The sequence below is a fragment of the Homo sapiens genome, chromosome 6, assembly GCF_000001405.40.
Source record: "Homo sapiens chromosome 6, GRCh38.p14 Primary Assembly".
NCBI lineage: Eukaryota > Metazoa > Chordata > Mammalia > Primates > Hominidae > Homo > Homo sapiens.
The window spans coordinates 105655093-105669679 of NC_000006.12; the positions used below are offsets into that span (position 1 = coordinate 105655093).

At 41.6% G+C, this 14587-nt stretch overlaps 1 pseudogene; it reads left to right on the plus strand.

The window, feature by feature from the left end:
* On the plus strand, positions 11131-13303 carry LOC100130683 (chromatin assembly factor 1 subunit B pseudogene; annotated as a pseudogene).
* Positions 13304-14587: the final 1284 nt, after the last annotated feature.

Here is a 14587-nt window from a genome sequence, read left to right on the forward strand (position 1 = left end):
TTTTGACAGTTCTAGAGGTAGGAAGTCTGAGTTCAGGACTAGTTTCAAATGGGACCCAGAACAAGAGAAGTCTCTGCAATAAATCCAAGCTGCATGTACTCTGACACTTGGGCCACATGATCCAGCAGATCCATGGTGCTTGAAGCAGGAGTAGGGATATGTTTTGGAGGAGCTGGCAGGCCCCTATAGTTGACTCATGGTGCAGACCATTAGGATTTTGGAGCAAAGTCCTGCCATCTTCTATGGATAACTAATTCTCCTTTGAGAATCAGCTCTTGTCCTGGTACTGGGCCTTAGTAGAGACTGAAGGCTTAACCATGGGCCATCAAGTTACCATGCAACCTGAACTGCCCATTGTGAACTGGGTATTATCTGACCTACAATGCCATAAAGTTGAACATACACAGCAGCACTCCATCCTCACGTCCTCACCACCTCAAGCGGTATATGTGAGATCAGTCCTGAGAAGGACCTAAAGGCACAAGTAAGTTACATGAAAAAATGACCAAAAGGTCTATGGTTTTTACGCCTGCTACATGCTACATTGCCTTCATTCTCCCAGCCTGTAACTATGGCCTCATAGGAAGTTTCCTACAATCAGCTGAGAAAGGAAGAAAAGACTCAGGCCTGGTTTACTGATGGTTTTGCACTGTATGCAGGCACCACCACCTGAAAGTGGACAGCTGCAGCACTACAGACACTAAAAGGCAGTGGTGAAGGGAATTCATCCTGGAAGTGCATCTGATTGTTCACTTTCTTTGAAGAGAGAAATGGCCAGTCATGTGATTATATACCATTTCAGGGACTCTGGCCAATGGTTTAGCTGGATGTTCAGGGCCTTGGAAGGAACATGATTGGAAAGTTGGTGACAAGGAAATTTGGGTAAGACATATGCAGATAGACCTCTTCAAATGGGCAAAAAGATGTGGAGATATTTGTGTCCCATGTGTATATTCACCAAAGGGTGGCTTCAGCAGACGAGGATTTTAATAATCAATTGGATAGAATGATGTGTCCTGTGGGTACCAGTCAGCTTCTTTCCCCAGCTACCCTTTCATTGCCCAGGGAGCTTATGAACAAAGTAGCCATGGTCACAGGAATGGAGGTTATGCCTGGGCTCAGCAACATGGACTTCACTTACAAAGGCTAATCTGCTTATGGCCACTGATGGGTGCACAATGTGCCCACAGCAGAGACCAACATTGTTTTCCGAATATGGCACTATTTCCTGGGGTGATCAGCCAACTACCTAGAGGCAGACTGATTACAATGGACTACATCCATCATGGAAAGGGCAGCATTTTTTCTTTACTGGAATAAATATTTACCCTGAATATGGATTTGCCTTCCTTGTACACAGGCTTCTGTCAAAACTACCATACATGGACTTACAGAATGCCTTATTCATTAGCACAGTATTCCACGCACACTTCTTTGGATCAAGGAACTCATTTCATGGCAAAAGAAATGCAGCAATGGGTTCATGCTCACGGAACTTACCAGTCTTACCATGTTCCTTACCGTCTGGAAGCAGCTAGTAGCTTGATAAAATAGTGAGATGGCCTTTGGAATATATAATACTCAGATATAATACCAGCTAGGTGTCAATACCTTAAAGAGCCTGGGCAATGTTCTCTAGAAGACTGTATATGCTTTGAATTGGCATCAAATACGTGGTGCTGTTTCCCCCATAGCCAGGGCTCATTGTTCTAGGAATCAAGAGACAGACACGGGAGTGGCACCACTCACTATTACCCCTAGTTCACTATTACCCCTCGTGACCCACTAGTAAAATTTTTGCTTCTTGTTCCCATGACCTTATAACTTGCTGGCCTAGATATCCTACTTTCAAAGGGAGCAAAGAGGAGACACAAAAATGGTATCATTGAACTGGAAATCTGGCCACTTTGGATTCTTCATGCCTCTGAATCCATAGTTATAGAAGGGAGTTACTTGCTGGCTGGGGTAATTGATTCTGACTACCAAGGGCAAATTTGACTACTACTCCACAATGGAAGTAAAGAGGAGTATGTCTGTAATACAGGACATCCCTTAGGGTGTCTCTTTGTATTACAGTGGACTGCTGCCCTCAGGCATTATGGAATGCAGGACTTAAGAACGATGAATTAGGATATCTGGAAGAAGAAATATCTAAGTAGCAAAGCATTCAAGCTGCTGAGTGGCTACTTTTAACACATACAGTGAGATGTGAGAAGATAGAGAAAACTTAAAGACAGAATTTAAAATTAAAAGAGAAGCAGAATGAAAAGTCTTGAAAAATTTACATTCTGGTCATGTAAAGAGTAAAAAAGCATATTTGGGAGAAAAGACTAAGGGTGTGGCCAATTGACTATTTGCTGAAGAGATTAATATGGCTAGAAGGAAGCCAGGTGCTATTCATCAAGACAAAGGGAGAAAGACTCCAAATGCATTTCAGGGATCTCTGAGGCTATCCCTCCCATCACAGGCCCAGAGCTCAAGGAGGTCAGAACAGTTTCAGGGGTTGGGCCTGGGGTAGCCTCTACAGACTTTTGTAGACTTGCAACCCAGAGCTGCCTTGTGTCTCTGCTCCCTGCATTCCAGAGCAGTGTTCCCACCCCTCTGCTGCTCCTGCTGTGGCTCAAGCAGGCCTAGGTGCAGCTTAACCCACCACTCCAGAAGGTGAAAGTGGTGTTGTCTGTAGGCCTGCAGAATGCAAGAGGTATACAGGCATAGCTTTCTTCACTTAGATTTTTTTAAAGGATGTTGTGGATAACCTGGGAGCCCAGGCAGAAACTTGCCACAGATGTGGAGCCACCACAGAGAGCTCCTACTAGGACAACGCTGAGTGGAAATGTGGTGTTGGAGCTTCCATGGAGAGTCCTCACAAGGGCAATGTCTAGCGGAGCTATGGCAGTGGGACCACCACGAAGACCCTAGAATTTCAGAGCTAACAGTGTGCAACATCAGCCCAGAAGAGCTGCAGACATGAGCTTCCAACCTGAGAGAGCTGACACATGGGTTGAGCCCAGCAAAGCCTTAGGGATAGGGGTGCCTGAGGTCTTGGGGGCTCAACACCCACCCCAGTGTACCCAGGTTGCAGGACATAGAGTGAAAAGAGATTATTCACTAGCTTAAGATTTAATGTTGTTTTCTCTGTTGGGTTTTGGACTTACCTAAGACCAGTTACTCTTTCTCTCTTTTTTTTCCCACCTATTGTTTCACTTTGTAATGGGAATATCTATGCTATGCCTGTCCCACCATTGTATTTTGGAAGGAGATAATTTCTTTTCATTTCAATGCTCACAGCTGAAGGGAATTTGCCTCTGGATAAATGGTTCCTTGAGTCTTAACATCCAATTTAGATGAGACTCTGGACTTTGGACTTCTGAGTTAATGCTGGAACAAGTTAAAACTTTTGGGGCTACTAGGATAGAATGAATGTATTTTGCACATGAAAAGGCCAGGGACAGAATGCTATGGTTTTAATGTGCCCTCCAAAACTCATGTTAAAATTTAATTGCCAATCTAAGAATATTGGGAAGTGGGGCCTTTAACAGGTAGTTAGGTTATGAGGCTTTGCCTTCATGAATGGATTAATGCCATTATCTCAGGAGTGGGTTCCTGATAAAAGGATAAAGTTTGGCACTCATTTCTCTCTGCGTCTCATACACTCTAACCCTCTCTCATCATGAAATTACTTCCCCCTGTTATGATGTAATGCAAAGTCCCTTGCCAGATGCTGACACCATATTCTTGGACTTCCCAACCACCAGAACCATGAGCCAAATAAACTTTTTTTCTTCGTAAATTACCCAGTCTATGGTATTCTATTATAGCAGTGGAAAATGGACTAGGACATAGTACTGTGATGTATACGCATGTTTAAATTTTAAAGAAATTGTGAAACTCCTTTTTAAAATACCATTTTACATTTCCACCAGCAGTATATGAGAGTTCCAGTTGCTCTGTATCCTCACCAAAATTTTGATACGAAGTCTTGAATTTTATTCACTCTAATGAACATCGACAGTAATATTATCGTGGTTTTACTTGGCATTTCCCCTAGTGATTAATCAAGTTGAACATCTTTTTATGTGCTTATTCCTATCTGTATATCTTCTTTGATGAACTATTCATTCAAATCTTTTGCCTGTTTTAAAAATTAGGTTGTCATTAAATTGGAAGAATTTATTACATATTCTAGATATAGGCTTTTTGTCAGATATTGCCAATATTTTCACTCAATCTGTGTCTTGCCTTTTTATTTTTGTAAGAATATTGATTGAAGGGCAAACTTTTTAAAAATGGTGCATTAAATTCCATTTATATATTAAGTTTTTTTAGTTCTTGCTTTTGCTATAGAATTTAAGAAATCTTTGCCAATCCAAAGGTGCACTATATTTTCTCCTATGTTGTCTTACAGAAGTTTTATAATTTTGTTTTACAATTATAATTCATTTTGAGTTCATTTGTGTATGTAGTGTGAGTTAATTTTTTTCATTTGACTAATTGTTTGAGCATAATTTGTTGAAAAGATTTTTCTTTCACACTGAATTGCCTTGCTATCTTTGTTAAAAATTAATTGATTATATATGTGTGGATTTATTTCTAGAGTCTCTATTCTGTCCCATTGATAAATATGCCTCTTTTATACAAATATCATAGTATCTTGACTATTGTACCTTTATAATAAGCCTTAAAATCATCTAGTATAAGTCTTCCAACACTGTTCTCCTTTTTCAAAGTTGTTATTGCAATTCTAAGCACTTTATATTTCTATATAAATTTTAGAATCAATTTGTCAATTTTTAGAATGAAGTTTGATAGGATTTTGACTAAGATTACATTGAAGCTATAGATGAATCTGAGAAGAAATGAAATCTTAAAATCATTTTCCACTTCAGAAACACAACGTTTCTCTCTTGTATTTAGTTTTTCGTCAACAATATTTTATAGTTTTCAAGTTCTGCATGCTTTTTTCAACTCTATTAGTCCATTTTTGCACTGCTGTAAAGAATGACCTGAGACTGGGTAATTTATTTAAAAAATGTTTAATTGACCACAGTTCTGCATGGCTAGTGAGGCTTCAGGAAACTTACAATTATGGCAGCAGGTGAAGGGAAAGCAAGGCACATCTTACATGGCAGCAGGAGAGAGAGAGAGAGCTATGGAGGAAATGCCACATTTTCAAACTATCAGATCTCGTGAGAACTCACTCACTATCACAAGAACAGCATGGGGGAACTGCCTCCATGATCCAATCACCTCCCACCAGGTCCCCCCCCTCAACATCTGAGGATTACAATTTGAGATGAGATTTGGGTGGGGACACAGAGCCAAAACATATCATCAATTAATAAATTATTGTAACAAACAACATCAAAATATTAATAGCTTAACATAATTTTTTTCTGCGCTTACATAAATCCCAATTTAGTATTCTGGGATCCATCTAGTAATCCCAGGTCCCAAGGTGTTTTCATCTGGTGGCACCACCATCTTTTTGGGTTTCTGAGTCCTCCATTGTATCCTCTGTATCTGCCCAGAAGGCAGGAGAAAGAACACTGGGGGATCCCTATGGGAAGTTTTCATGAGCCAGGACTGGACACATCCTATATCACTTCTGCCCACATTCTATTGACCAGAAGCCAGTCACATGGCACCCAGTTAACAATTGTAAGAGAGGCTGTGGAATGTATTCCAGCCATTGTATGGACAGAGGAAAAGGAGATGGGAACTATTTAGTACATAGCAGTCTCAGCCACACAGATACACAACTTAGAAAAAATCTCACACGTATGAACAAAGAGATATAAAAGGATATTCAATACAGCATTGTCTGAAAATGCAAATGGCCAGAAAAACCTAAATGTCTAATAGCACAAGTCTGAATTGAAAACAGACTTCTTAAGCACAAACCACAAGGCAAAAACTTAGCGGATTTGACAGCATTAAAACACCAATGAAAACATTAAGAGAAGAATCAAAGACCGGGAAAAGATATTTATAACATCTAAACTTAAAAACATGCTTGAGAGTAAAAAAGGGTCCTTTTAATACTTATGTTAGGACGATAGGCATAAATTTGGCATATAGTCTCCTTATCTAAACACGATAAGGTATTAATGACTAGAATATCCACATAACCCCACAAATCAATAAGAAGGCTGGGCATGGTGGCTCATGCCTGTAATCCTAGCACTTTGGGAGGCCAAGGCAGGAGGATCGCTTGAGCCCAGCAGTTTAAGACCAGCCTAGGTGACAGGGCGAGAACCTGTATCTATAAAAAAATAAAAAATTAGCTGTATGTAGTGGTGCACACACACTTGTGGTTTCAGCTACTCAGGAGGCTGAGGTGGGAGGATTGCTTGAGCCTAGGAGGTCAAGGCTGTAGTGAGCCATGTTTGTATCACCATATCCCAGCTTGGGCAAGAAAGCAAGACTCTGTCTCAAAAAAAATTTTTTTTAATAAAAATTTAAAAAGAAAATACAGGAAACCCAACAGGAAAGAATGGAGAGGAAAACCGAGTGACCAGTTAGTATATAATGAACTGTTCAACAGAAATAGCAGTTATAAAAATGCAAAATAGGAAATACTTTGCACACATCAGATTTGCAAAAATCAAAAGGTCAGATAATATTAAGTGGCCATTAGGATAGAGAGACTATCCTCACCCTATGCATCTCTTAACCTATATCCTTTGTAATATTCTTTATAATAAACTGGTAAACTACATAACTGTGATTCTCCTAGACAACGATAGTGATCATCTCCCTTCCTGGGGGCAGTTGCACACAAAGTCAGTATAAAGTGAGAAAAGTAATACCAATATGTTAAGGAAACTGTGAACAGATTGTCTTCAGTGAAGCAAGATGAACAAAGGAAAAAAGTGGAAAATTAGAAGTTGCTCTGAGAGGCAGGCCCAGCACAGGAGAGGAGTCACCTGCAATGGCTTTCCTTGTGACTGAGGGTCATGAGATGGGATGCTATAACCAAGCAACATTGTGAAGCTATAGCTCATAAGAGGAGTTGATGACTTAGGGAGAGGCCAGGTTCTGGCTCAGCCATCCTGACAGCAATGGTAAAGAGTCTTGTGAAAATAGTGTATGATTTGGACATAAAAAAGCCTGGGTTCAAAACCCTCTTCTGTAAAGAGAAGAACACTGCACCCACCTCTCCCAGTCATTTGGGGGTTAAATCAAAAACCATGAAAAGTGCGTTGTGTAAGGCCATATGGAGTAACTGTGCAGAATGGCACTCTTGTCCAGCAAAAGAAGAAAGGCCAAGTTCAAGGCAGAAATAGTCTGTTTGAAGGTAGTAACATGCTGTTGAGGCAAAGAGAACTGTAGGGGCTGAGACTGGAGAGTGTAAAATTGGAGAGAGGTGAGCTGCTGCTAGCAGCCTCTACCTGAAGATCATTCACCTATTCTGGGTCATGGGAGAAGCTGAGAATCTGGAGATGGCGAAACCAGAGAATTTCCAAAAGAGACATGAAGAGCCTCAAACACACAGCTGGAATTCCTGTCAGGACATTTGCTGAATTGGGAGTGTATGAGGCTAAAAAAACAGAAGTAGAAAGCCTCTGAGAATCATCAGAGTTTTCAGCAGTTTTATAAGATGAAAATAGGAATTCAAGATCTGCCAAAGAAGGGGTCCAGGTGAATACACTAGGCTAACAGCCAGGCCAAGGATGGATGGTGACCTGACCTTATTACCATATTGAAAATTGAATTGAGATGGATCATGACCAAAATGCAAAAGGTCAAACAATAAAACTTATAAAAATAAACAGGAAAAAAAATCTTCACGGTCTTGGTGTAAAATTTCTGTTTTTTCCTCCAAGTTTAAAAAATATAATACTCTATTTTGCTTTAAAAACATTTCAACTTTCAAGAGAAATTAAACCTATGTATTAGGAGTAGGGTAGAGGTTGTCTGGGGAGAAGAGGTGGCTAAAACTGCATGGGGTGTGAATGGGGGCTTGTCACCCTGGGTAGTTGTCACCTAAGTGTGCTCACTTTGTGAAAACTCATCACAATCTATGCTGTTGAATGCTTGCTCTATATACACTCTTTTGTATTTGTTATGTTATGCTTCAATAAAAACATTAATATGAAAAAAGTGTGCATTTACCACATGACCCAGTCATTCCATTTCTGGATTTACAGGCATACTTTGGAGATATTGTGGGTTCGCTTCCAGACTCCCACAATAAAGTGAATATTGCAATAAAACAAGTCACTCAACTTTTTTTATTTCCCAGTGCATATAAAAGTTTTGTTTATACTCTACTGAAGTCTATGAAGTGTGTAATGTCATTATGTCTAGAAAACAAGGTACAGATTTTGTGCAAAAATATTTTATTGCTAAAAATGCTGATAATAATCTCGACTTTAGCAAGTTATAATATTTTTCATGGTAGGTCTTGCCTCGATGTTGATGGCTACAGACTGTTCAGGGTGGTGACTGCAGAAGTGTAGAGTGGCTGTAGCCATTCCTTAAAATAAGACAACAATGAAGTTTGCTGCATGGATTGACTCTTAATTTCCTGAATGATTTTTCTGTAACTTGAAATGCTGTTTGATAGCATTTTACCTACAATACTTTTAAAATTGAAGTCGGTCTTCTCAAATCTTGTCATTGCTTTATCAACTAAGTTTATGAAATATTCTAAATCTTTTGTTGTCATTTCAACAATGTTCACAGCATCTTCATCGGGAATAGATTCCACCTCAATAAACTCAGTAAACTACTCTTTGTTCATTAAAGTTTTATCATGAGATTGCAGCAATTCAGTTACATTTTCCAGCTCCACTTCTAATTTTTTTTTTTTTTGAGACAAAGCTTCACTCTTGTCCCCCAAGCTGGAGTGCAATGGCATGATCTCAGCTCACTGCAAACCTCCGCCTCCTGGGTTCAAGTGATTCTCCTGCCTCAGCCTCCTGAGTAGCTGGGATTACAGGTGTCCACCATCACATCCAGCCAATTTTTGTATTTTTAGTAGAGATGGGGTTTCACTATGTTGGTCAGGCTAGTCTCGAACTCCTGACCTCAGGTGATCCATCTGCCTCACCCTCCTAAAGTCCTGGGATTACAGGTGTGAGCCACCGCACCTGACCTCCACTTCTAATTTGAGTTCTCTTGCTGTTTCCACATTTGCAGTTACTTCCTCCACTGAAATATTGAATTCCTCAAAGTTATCCATGAGGGTTGGAATCAACTTCTTCCAAATTCTTGCTAATGTTGTTATTTTGACCTTCTCTCATGAATCACGAATGTTCTTAATGACATCTAGAATGGTGAATTCCTTCCAGAATGGTTTCAATTTACTTTCCCCAGATGCATCAGAGGAATCACTGTCTATGGCAGCTATAGCCTTAGGAAATGTATTCCTTAAAGAACAAGACTTGGAAGTTGAAATTTCTCCTGGATTCATGCACTGGAGAATGAAGGCTGTGATGAAAAACACATTAATATCCTTGTACATCTCCATCAGAGCTCTCAGATGACTAGATACACTGTCAATGAGTAGTAATCTATGGAAAGTAATCTTTTTTTCTGAGCAGTAGGTCTTAACAGTGGGCTTAAAATATCCAGTAAACCATGGTGCTAACAGATGTGCTGTCAGCCAAGCTTTGTTGTTCCATTTACGGAACAGAAGCAGAGTAGATTTAGCATAATGCTTAAGAGCCCTAGGATTTTTTGAATGGTATATGGGCATTGGGTTCAACTTAAAGTCACTAGCTTCATTAGCCCCTAAAAAGAGAGTCAGCCTGTTGTTTGAATATTTGAAGACAGACATTAACTTCTCCACTCTAGGAGAGTGTTGTGGCTGGTTTGATTTTCTATGCAGACCACTCAAACTTTCTCCATATCAGCAATAAGACTGTTTCCCTTTCTTATTCTTCATGTATTCACTGAAGTAGCACTTTTCATTTCCTTCATGATTTTTTTTCCTTTGCATTCACAACTAACTGTTTGGCTAACTGCTGAGCTATCTGTTTGGTGCAAGAGGCCTAGTTTTGGCTTATTTCAGCTTTCAACATACCTTCCTCATTAAGCTTATTCATTTCTAGCTTTTGATTTAAAGTGAGAGGTGTGTGACTCTTCCTTTCACTTGAACAGTGAGATACCATTGTAGGGTTATAAATTGACTTAATTTCAATATTATTGTGTCTCGGGTAATAGGGAGCCGTGAGGAGAGGGAGAGAGTTGAGGGGACATCCATTTGGTGAAGTAGTAAGAACACATATTTATAGATTAAGTTTACTGTCTTCTATGTGCACGGTTCATGGCACCAAAACAATTACAATGGCAACATCAAAGATTACTGACCACAGATCACTATAACAGGTATAACAATAATGAAAACATCTGAAATATTGCAAGAATTATGAAACTGTGACACAGAGATGCAAAGTGAGCACATGCTGTTGAAAAAATGGCACTGATAGACTTACTTGACACAGGGTTGCCATAAACCTTCAGTTTGAGAAAAACACAATATCTGCAAAGTATAATAGTGACATTCAATAAAATGAGACATACCTGTATGCTGTAAAGAGACATATATGAGAATATCTCACTGTAGCAAGAGTTGGAGGCAACCTAAGTGCTCACTACTAAAGGAATAGAGAAATCAAATATGATGGCAACACATTGTGGAGTACCATGAAGCAGTTAGAAGCAATGAATTATTGGATGAACATGTATATGAGGGAAGATCTTAAAAATCGAAAGATGATTTTTAAAAATCAAGTTACAGAATGAAATTGATAGCACCCCATTTATTGACTATTAAAAACACATACATGGCTGGGTGCGATGGCTCACACCTATAATCCCAGCATTTTGGGAGACTGAGGTTGGAGGATTGCTTGAGTCCAGGAGTTCGAGAACAGCCTGGGCAACATAGCAAGGCCCTGCCTCTACAAAAATTAGCCGGGCATTGTGGTACTTCCCTGTAGTCCCAGCTACTATGGAGGCTGTGGTGGGAGGATTGCTTGAGCCCAGTAGCTGGAGGTTGCAGTAAGCTGAGATTGTGCCACTGCATTCCAACCTGGGGGACAGAGCACTCTGTCTCAAAAAACAGAAATAAAAATTAAAACTCCGGTCCCGCTCACGAGGGGTCGGGGCCTGCAGTGCGCAGGAAGCAGCACAGCCCTGCAAGGGAGGTGACAGCACCGCTGACCATCCTGGTCCCTGCAGAACGGTGCCGGAGAAACGTTTTGCACCTTCAAGACTCAGGAGGATGAAAGTTATCACTTGTGAAGTAGCCTGGCATGACAAAGAGCCTGTGTACAGCCTGGACTTCCAGCATGGGATGGCCGGGAGGACGCACAGACTGATGTCTGCAGGCATGGACTCCGTTGTCAGGATCTGGAACGTAGAAAAGGGACTAGATGGAAACGACATCATGGAATTTTTGTTCAATCTTGCTTGTCATACCAAAGCCTTCAATGTCCTGCATTTTTCTCCATCTGGGGAGATTTTAGCATCGGGAGGAGATGATGCTGTCATCCTGTTGTAGAAGGTGAATGATAACAAAGAGCTGGAGCAGATTTCTTTTCAGGATGAGGACGAGGCCCAGTTGAACAAGGAGAACTGGATGGTTGTGAAGACTCTGCGGGGCCACTTAGAAGATGTGTATGATATTTGGTGGGCAACTGATGGGAATTTTATGGCTTCTCCCTCTGTGGATGACACAGCCATCATATGGGATGTCAATAAAGGACAAAAAATATCAATTAACATAACAGAAAAGTTATGTCCAAGGAATAAACTGGGACCCTTTAGGTCAATATGTTGCTACTCTGAGCTGTGACACGGTGCTGCAGGTATACAATATACAGAAGAAGCATGTGGTTTTTAATGTTTCAAAGATGCTATCTGGAATAGGGGCTGAAGGAGAGGCAAGAAGCTACCGCATGTTTCATGATGACAGCATGAAGTTGTTCTTCCATAGACTGAGTTTCACTCCCAATGGATCTTTGCTCCTCACACCAGCCAGATGTGTGGAATCCGGTGAAAATGTAATGAACATCACTTACGTTTTCTCCGGGAAGGATCTTAAAAGGCCCATCGCTCATCTTCCGTGTCCTGGAAAAGCCACTCTTGCTGTTGGCAGCTGTCTGGTCTATTTTGAACTGAGGCCAGTGGTGGAAACAGGTGCGGAGCTAATGAGTCTGCCCTACCGCCTGGTATTTGCTGTGGCTTAGGAGGACTCTGTGCTTCTGGACACCCAGGAGTCCTTCCCTTTCGGTTATGTGTCTAATATACATTACCACACCCTCAATGACATTTCATGGTCTAGCGATGGCGCCTTCCTGGCCATTTCTTCCACAGACAGTTACTGCTCGTTTGTGACATTTGAGAAACGTGAACTTGGAATTCTTTTAAAAGAGAAGTCAGTTTTGAGCATGAGAACTCCTGATACAGCAAAGAAAACCAAGAGTCAGACACACCAAGGGTCTTTGCCAGGACCCAGACCCGTAGAGGGAACAACTGCCAGCAGAACCCAAGACCCCAGCAACCCCTGCTCAACCCCCACTCAGGCCAGACAGGCCCCAGCCCCAACAGCCACCAGGGACCCTCCCTCTATCATTCTGCTGTCAAAAGCTCCTTGCCGAGGCCTTCGGAGGAGAAGACCCTGCCGCCCAGTAGTTAAAACACAAAAGCCCACCCATCCCGGAGGGTCACTCTGAACACACTGCAATCCTGGAGCAAGACAACACCCTGGAGAATAAACTCAATACCCTTAAAGACAGACACTCCACCAAAGTCTGTACCAATCAATGTAATCTCCACCCCTTCTGCAGAAGAATTTAGTAAGAGACGCCTGGAAATGCTCAGGACAGTCCCGTAGAGCTAAAACAGCCCAGACTCAGTGAAAACAAAGGGGGCACTGAAAGTCTGGAACCTTGATGGGACCTTGGCTTCTGCTCAAAGCCTTCCAGACCTCCCATGTGTGCAATGAGGTGGTGAAGCTGGAGATGCCTGAGACCAGTTGCTTCCATGGAGCGGGACAGATGCCGTAAATGGATTTCTGTAACAGAAGTGACATGTGTACTGATTTTTCTCCAGAAATATGGATGCTGTTTTATTCAGTCTCCATTTTTAACTTGGGGATGTGAACATTTTAACATACTGAATCCTCTTTTTCATGAGTCTCTGAAACTGGAGCAGTTCAACATTATCCAGTGTGAAAATCAATGAGTCCTCCCTGGCATCCTCGTGAAAGTGCAGACACTTCATGGAGGGACTCCTTTTAAAGTTAGAATTAGGAAGATGAGAAAGTAATTTGAGATTTTACTCGGTTGAATTTTAGAGTATTTGAAGTAATTGTTAGATATTTGCTTCTCAGGAGTTGATTAAACTTTGGAAGGTTAAAAAAATAAAATAAATAAAAACACATACATTGTAGGGTATGCTAGAGGGACAGAACTAATAGGTAGATAGATATCAAAGGGAGTTTATTAAGTATTAACTCACATGATCAGAAGGTCTCACAATAGGCTGTCTGCAAGCGGAGGAGCAAGGAAGCCAGTCTGAGTCCCAAAACTGAAAAACATGGAGTCTGATGTTCAAGGGCAGGAAGCATCCAGTATGGGAGAAAGGTGTAGACTGGGAGGCTAGGCCAGTCTAGTCTTTTCACATTTTTCTGCCTGCTTTATATTCTAGCCATGCTGGCAGCTGATTAGATGGTGCTCACCCAGAGTAAGGGTGTGTCTGTCTTTCCCAGCCCACTAACTCAAATGTTAATCTCCTTTGGCAACACCCTCACAGACACACCCAGGATCAATACTTTGGATCCTTCAATCCAATCAAGTTGACACTCAGTATTAACCATCATATACATATACAGAAAGAAGCGGTTTGCTGCTATAAACTCCGTGAGACAGCCAAAAAATTGTGAGTTCCCAAAGTGTGAGAAGGGAAAAGTCTGCCTCTGAACACACATCCCCATTGGGGAACCTGAAAATCCATATCACAGGAGGATTTAACCTTACCTATAATGGAAATGGATTTCGAGTTGAGCAAAATATAAAAGTAGAAGCAGCAGCAGGAAAAGCCCTGTAGGCACTCCTGGTCCCCAGCTAGAGCCCAGGGAAACCATCCCTGGCTTTATCTCATAGCAGTCCTTGGGACAGCAACAGAAGCCAGTGGAATTGGGGAGGGGCCACAGGGTGAAGGAAGCTTCTAGCTGAACTTTGTAATAATTTTGACTGAGCATGAATTTACCTAAGCAGATCGGGGCAGGGGTACTGCAAATGGGAAGTGTAGATACAAGTGCGGAAGCCACAGTGCATGGTGCAGGCAGGCATGCAAGGAGGGGCAAGGCCTGAGACTGTTTGCTTTCTCAGCGGGGAGGCTTGTAGCCTGGGGCAAGATTTCAGCCCTGGTGACCCGCTGCCTGGATATAAACTTTAGGATGTTGGTGGGGTATGGCGGGAGTGAGACTGGCCTTGCTGGCTGTGTAGGAGCTAGGTGAGGCCTGTCACTGCTGGTTTTCCCCCACTTCCTTGGTGACCTGTAAGATGCAGCAGAGGCAACCACAGTCCCACTGGGAACATAACTCTATTAGCTGGAGAAACACCTCCCATCC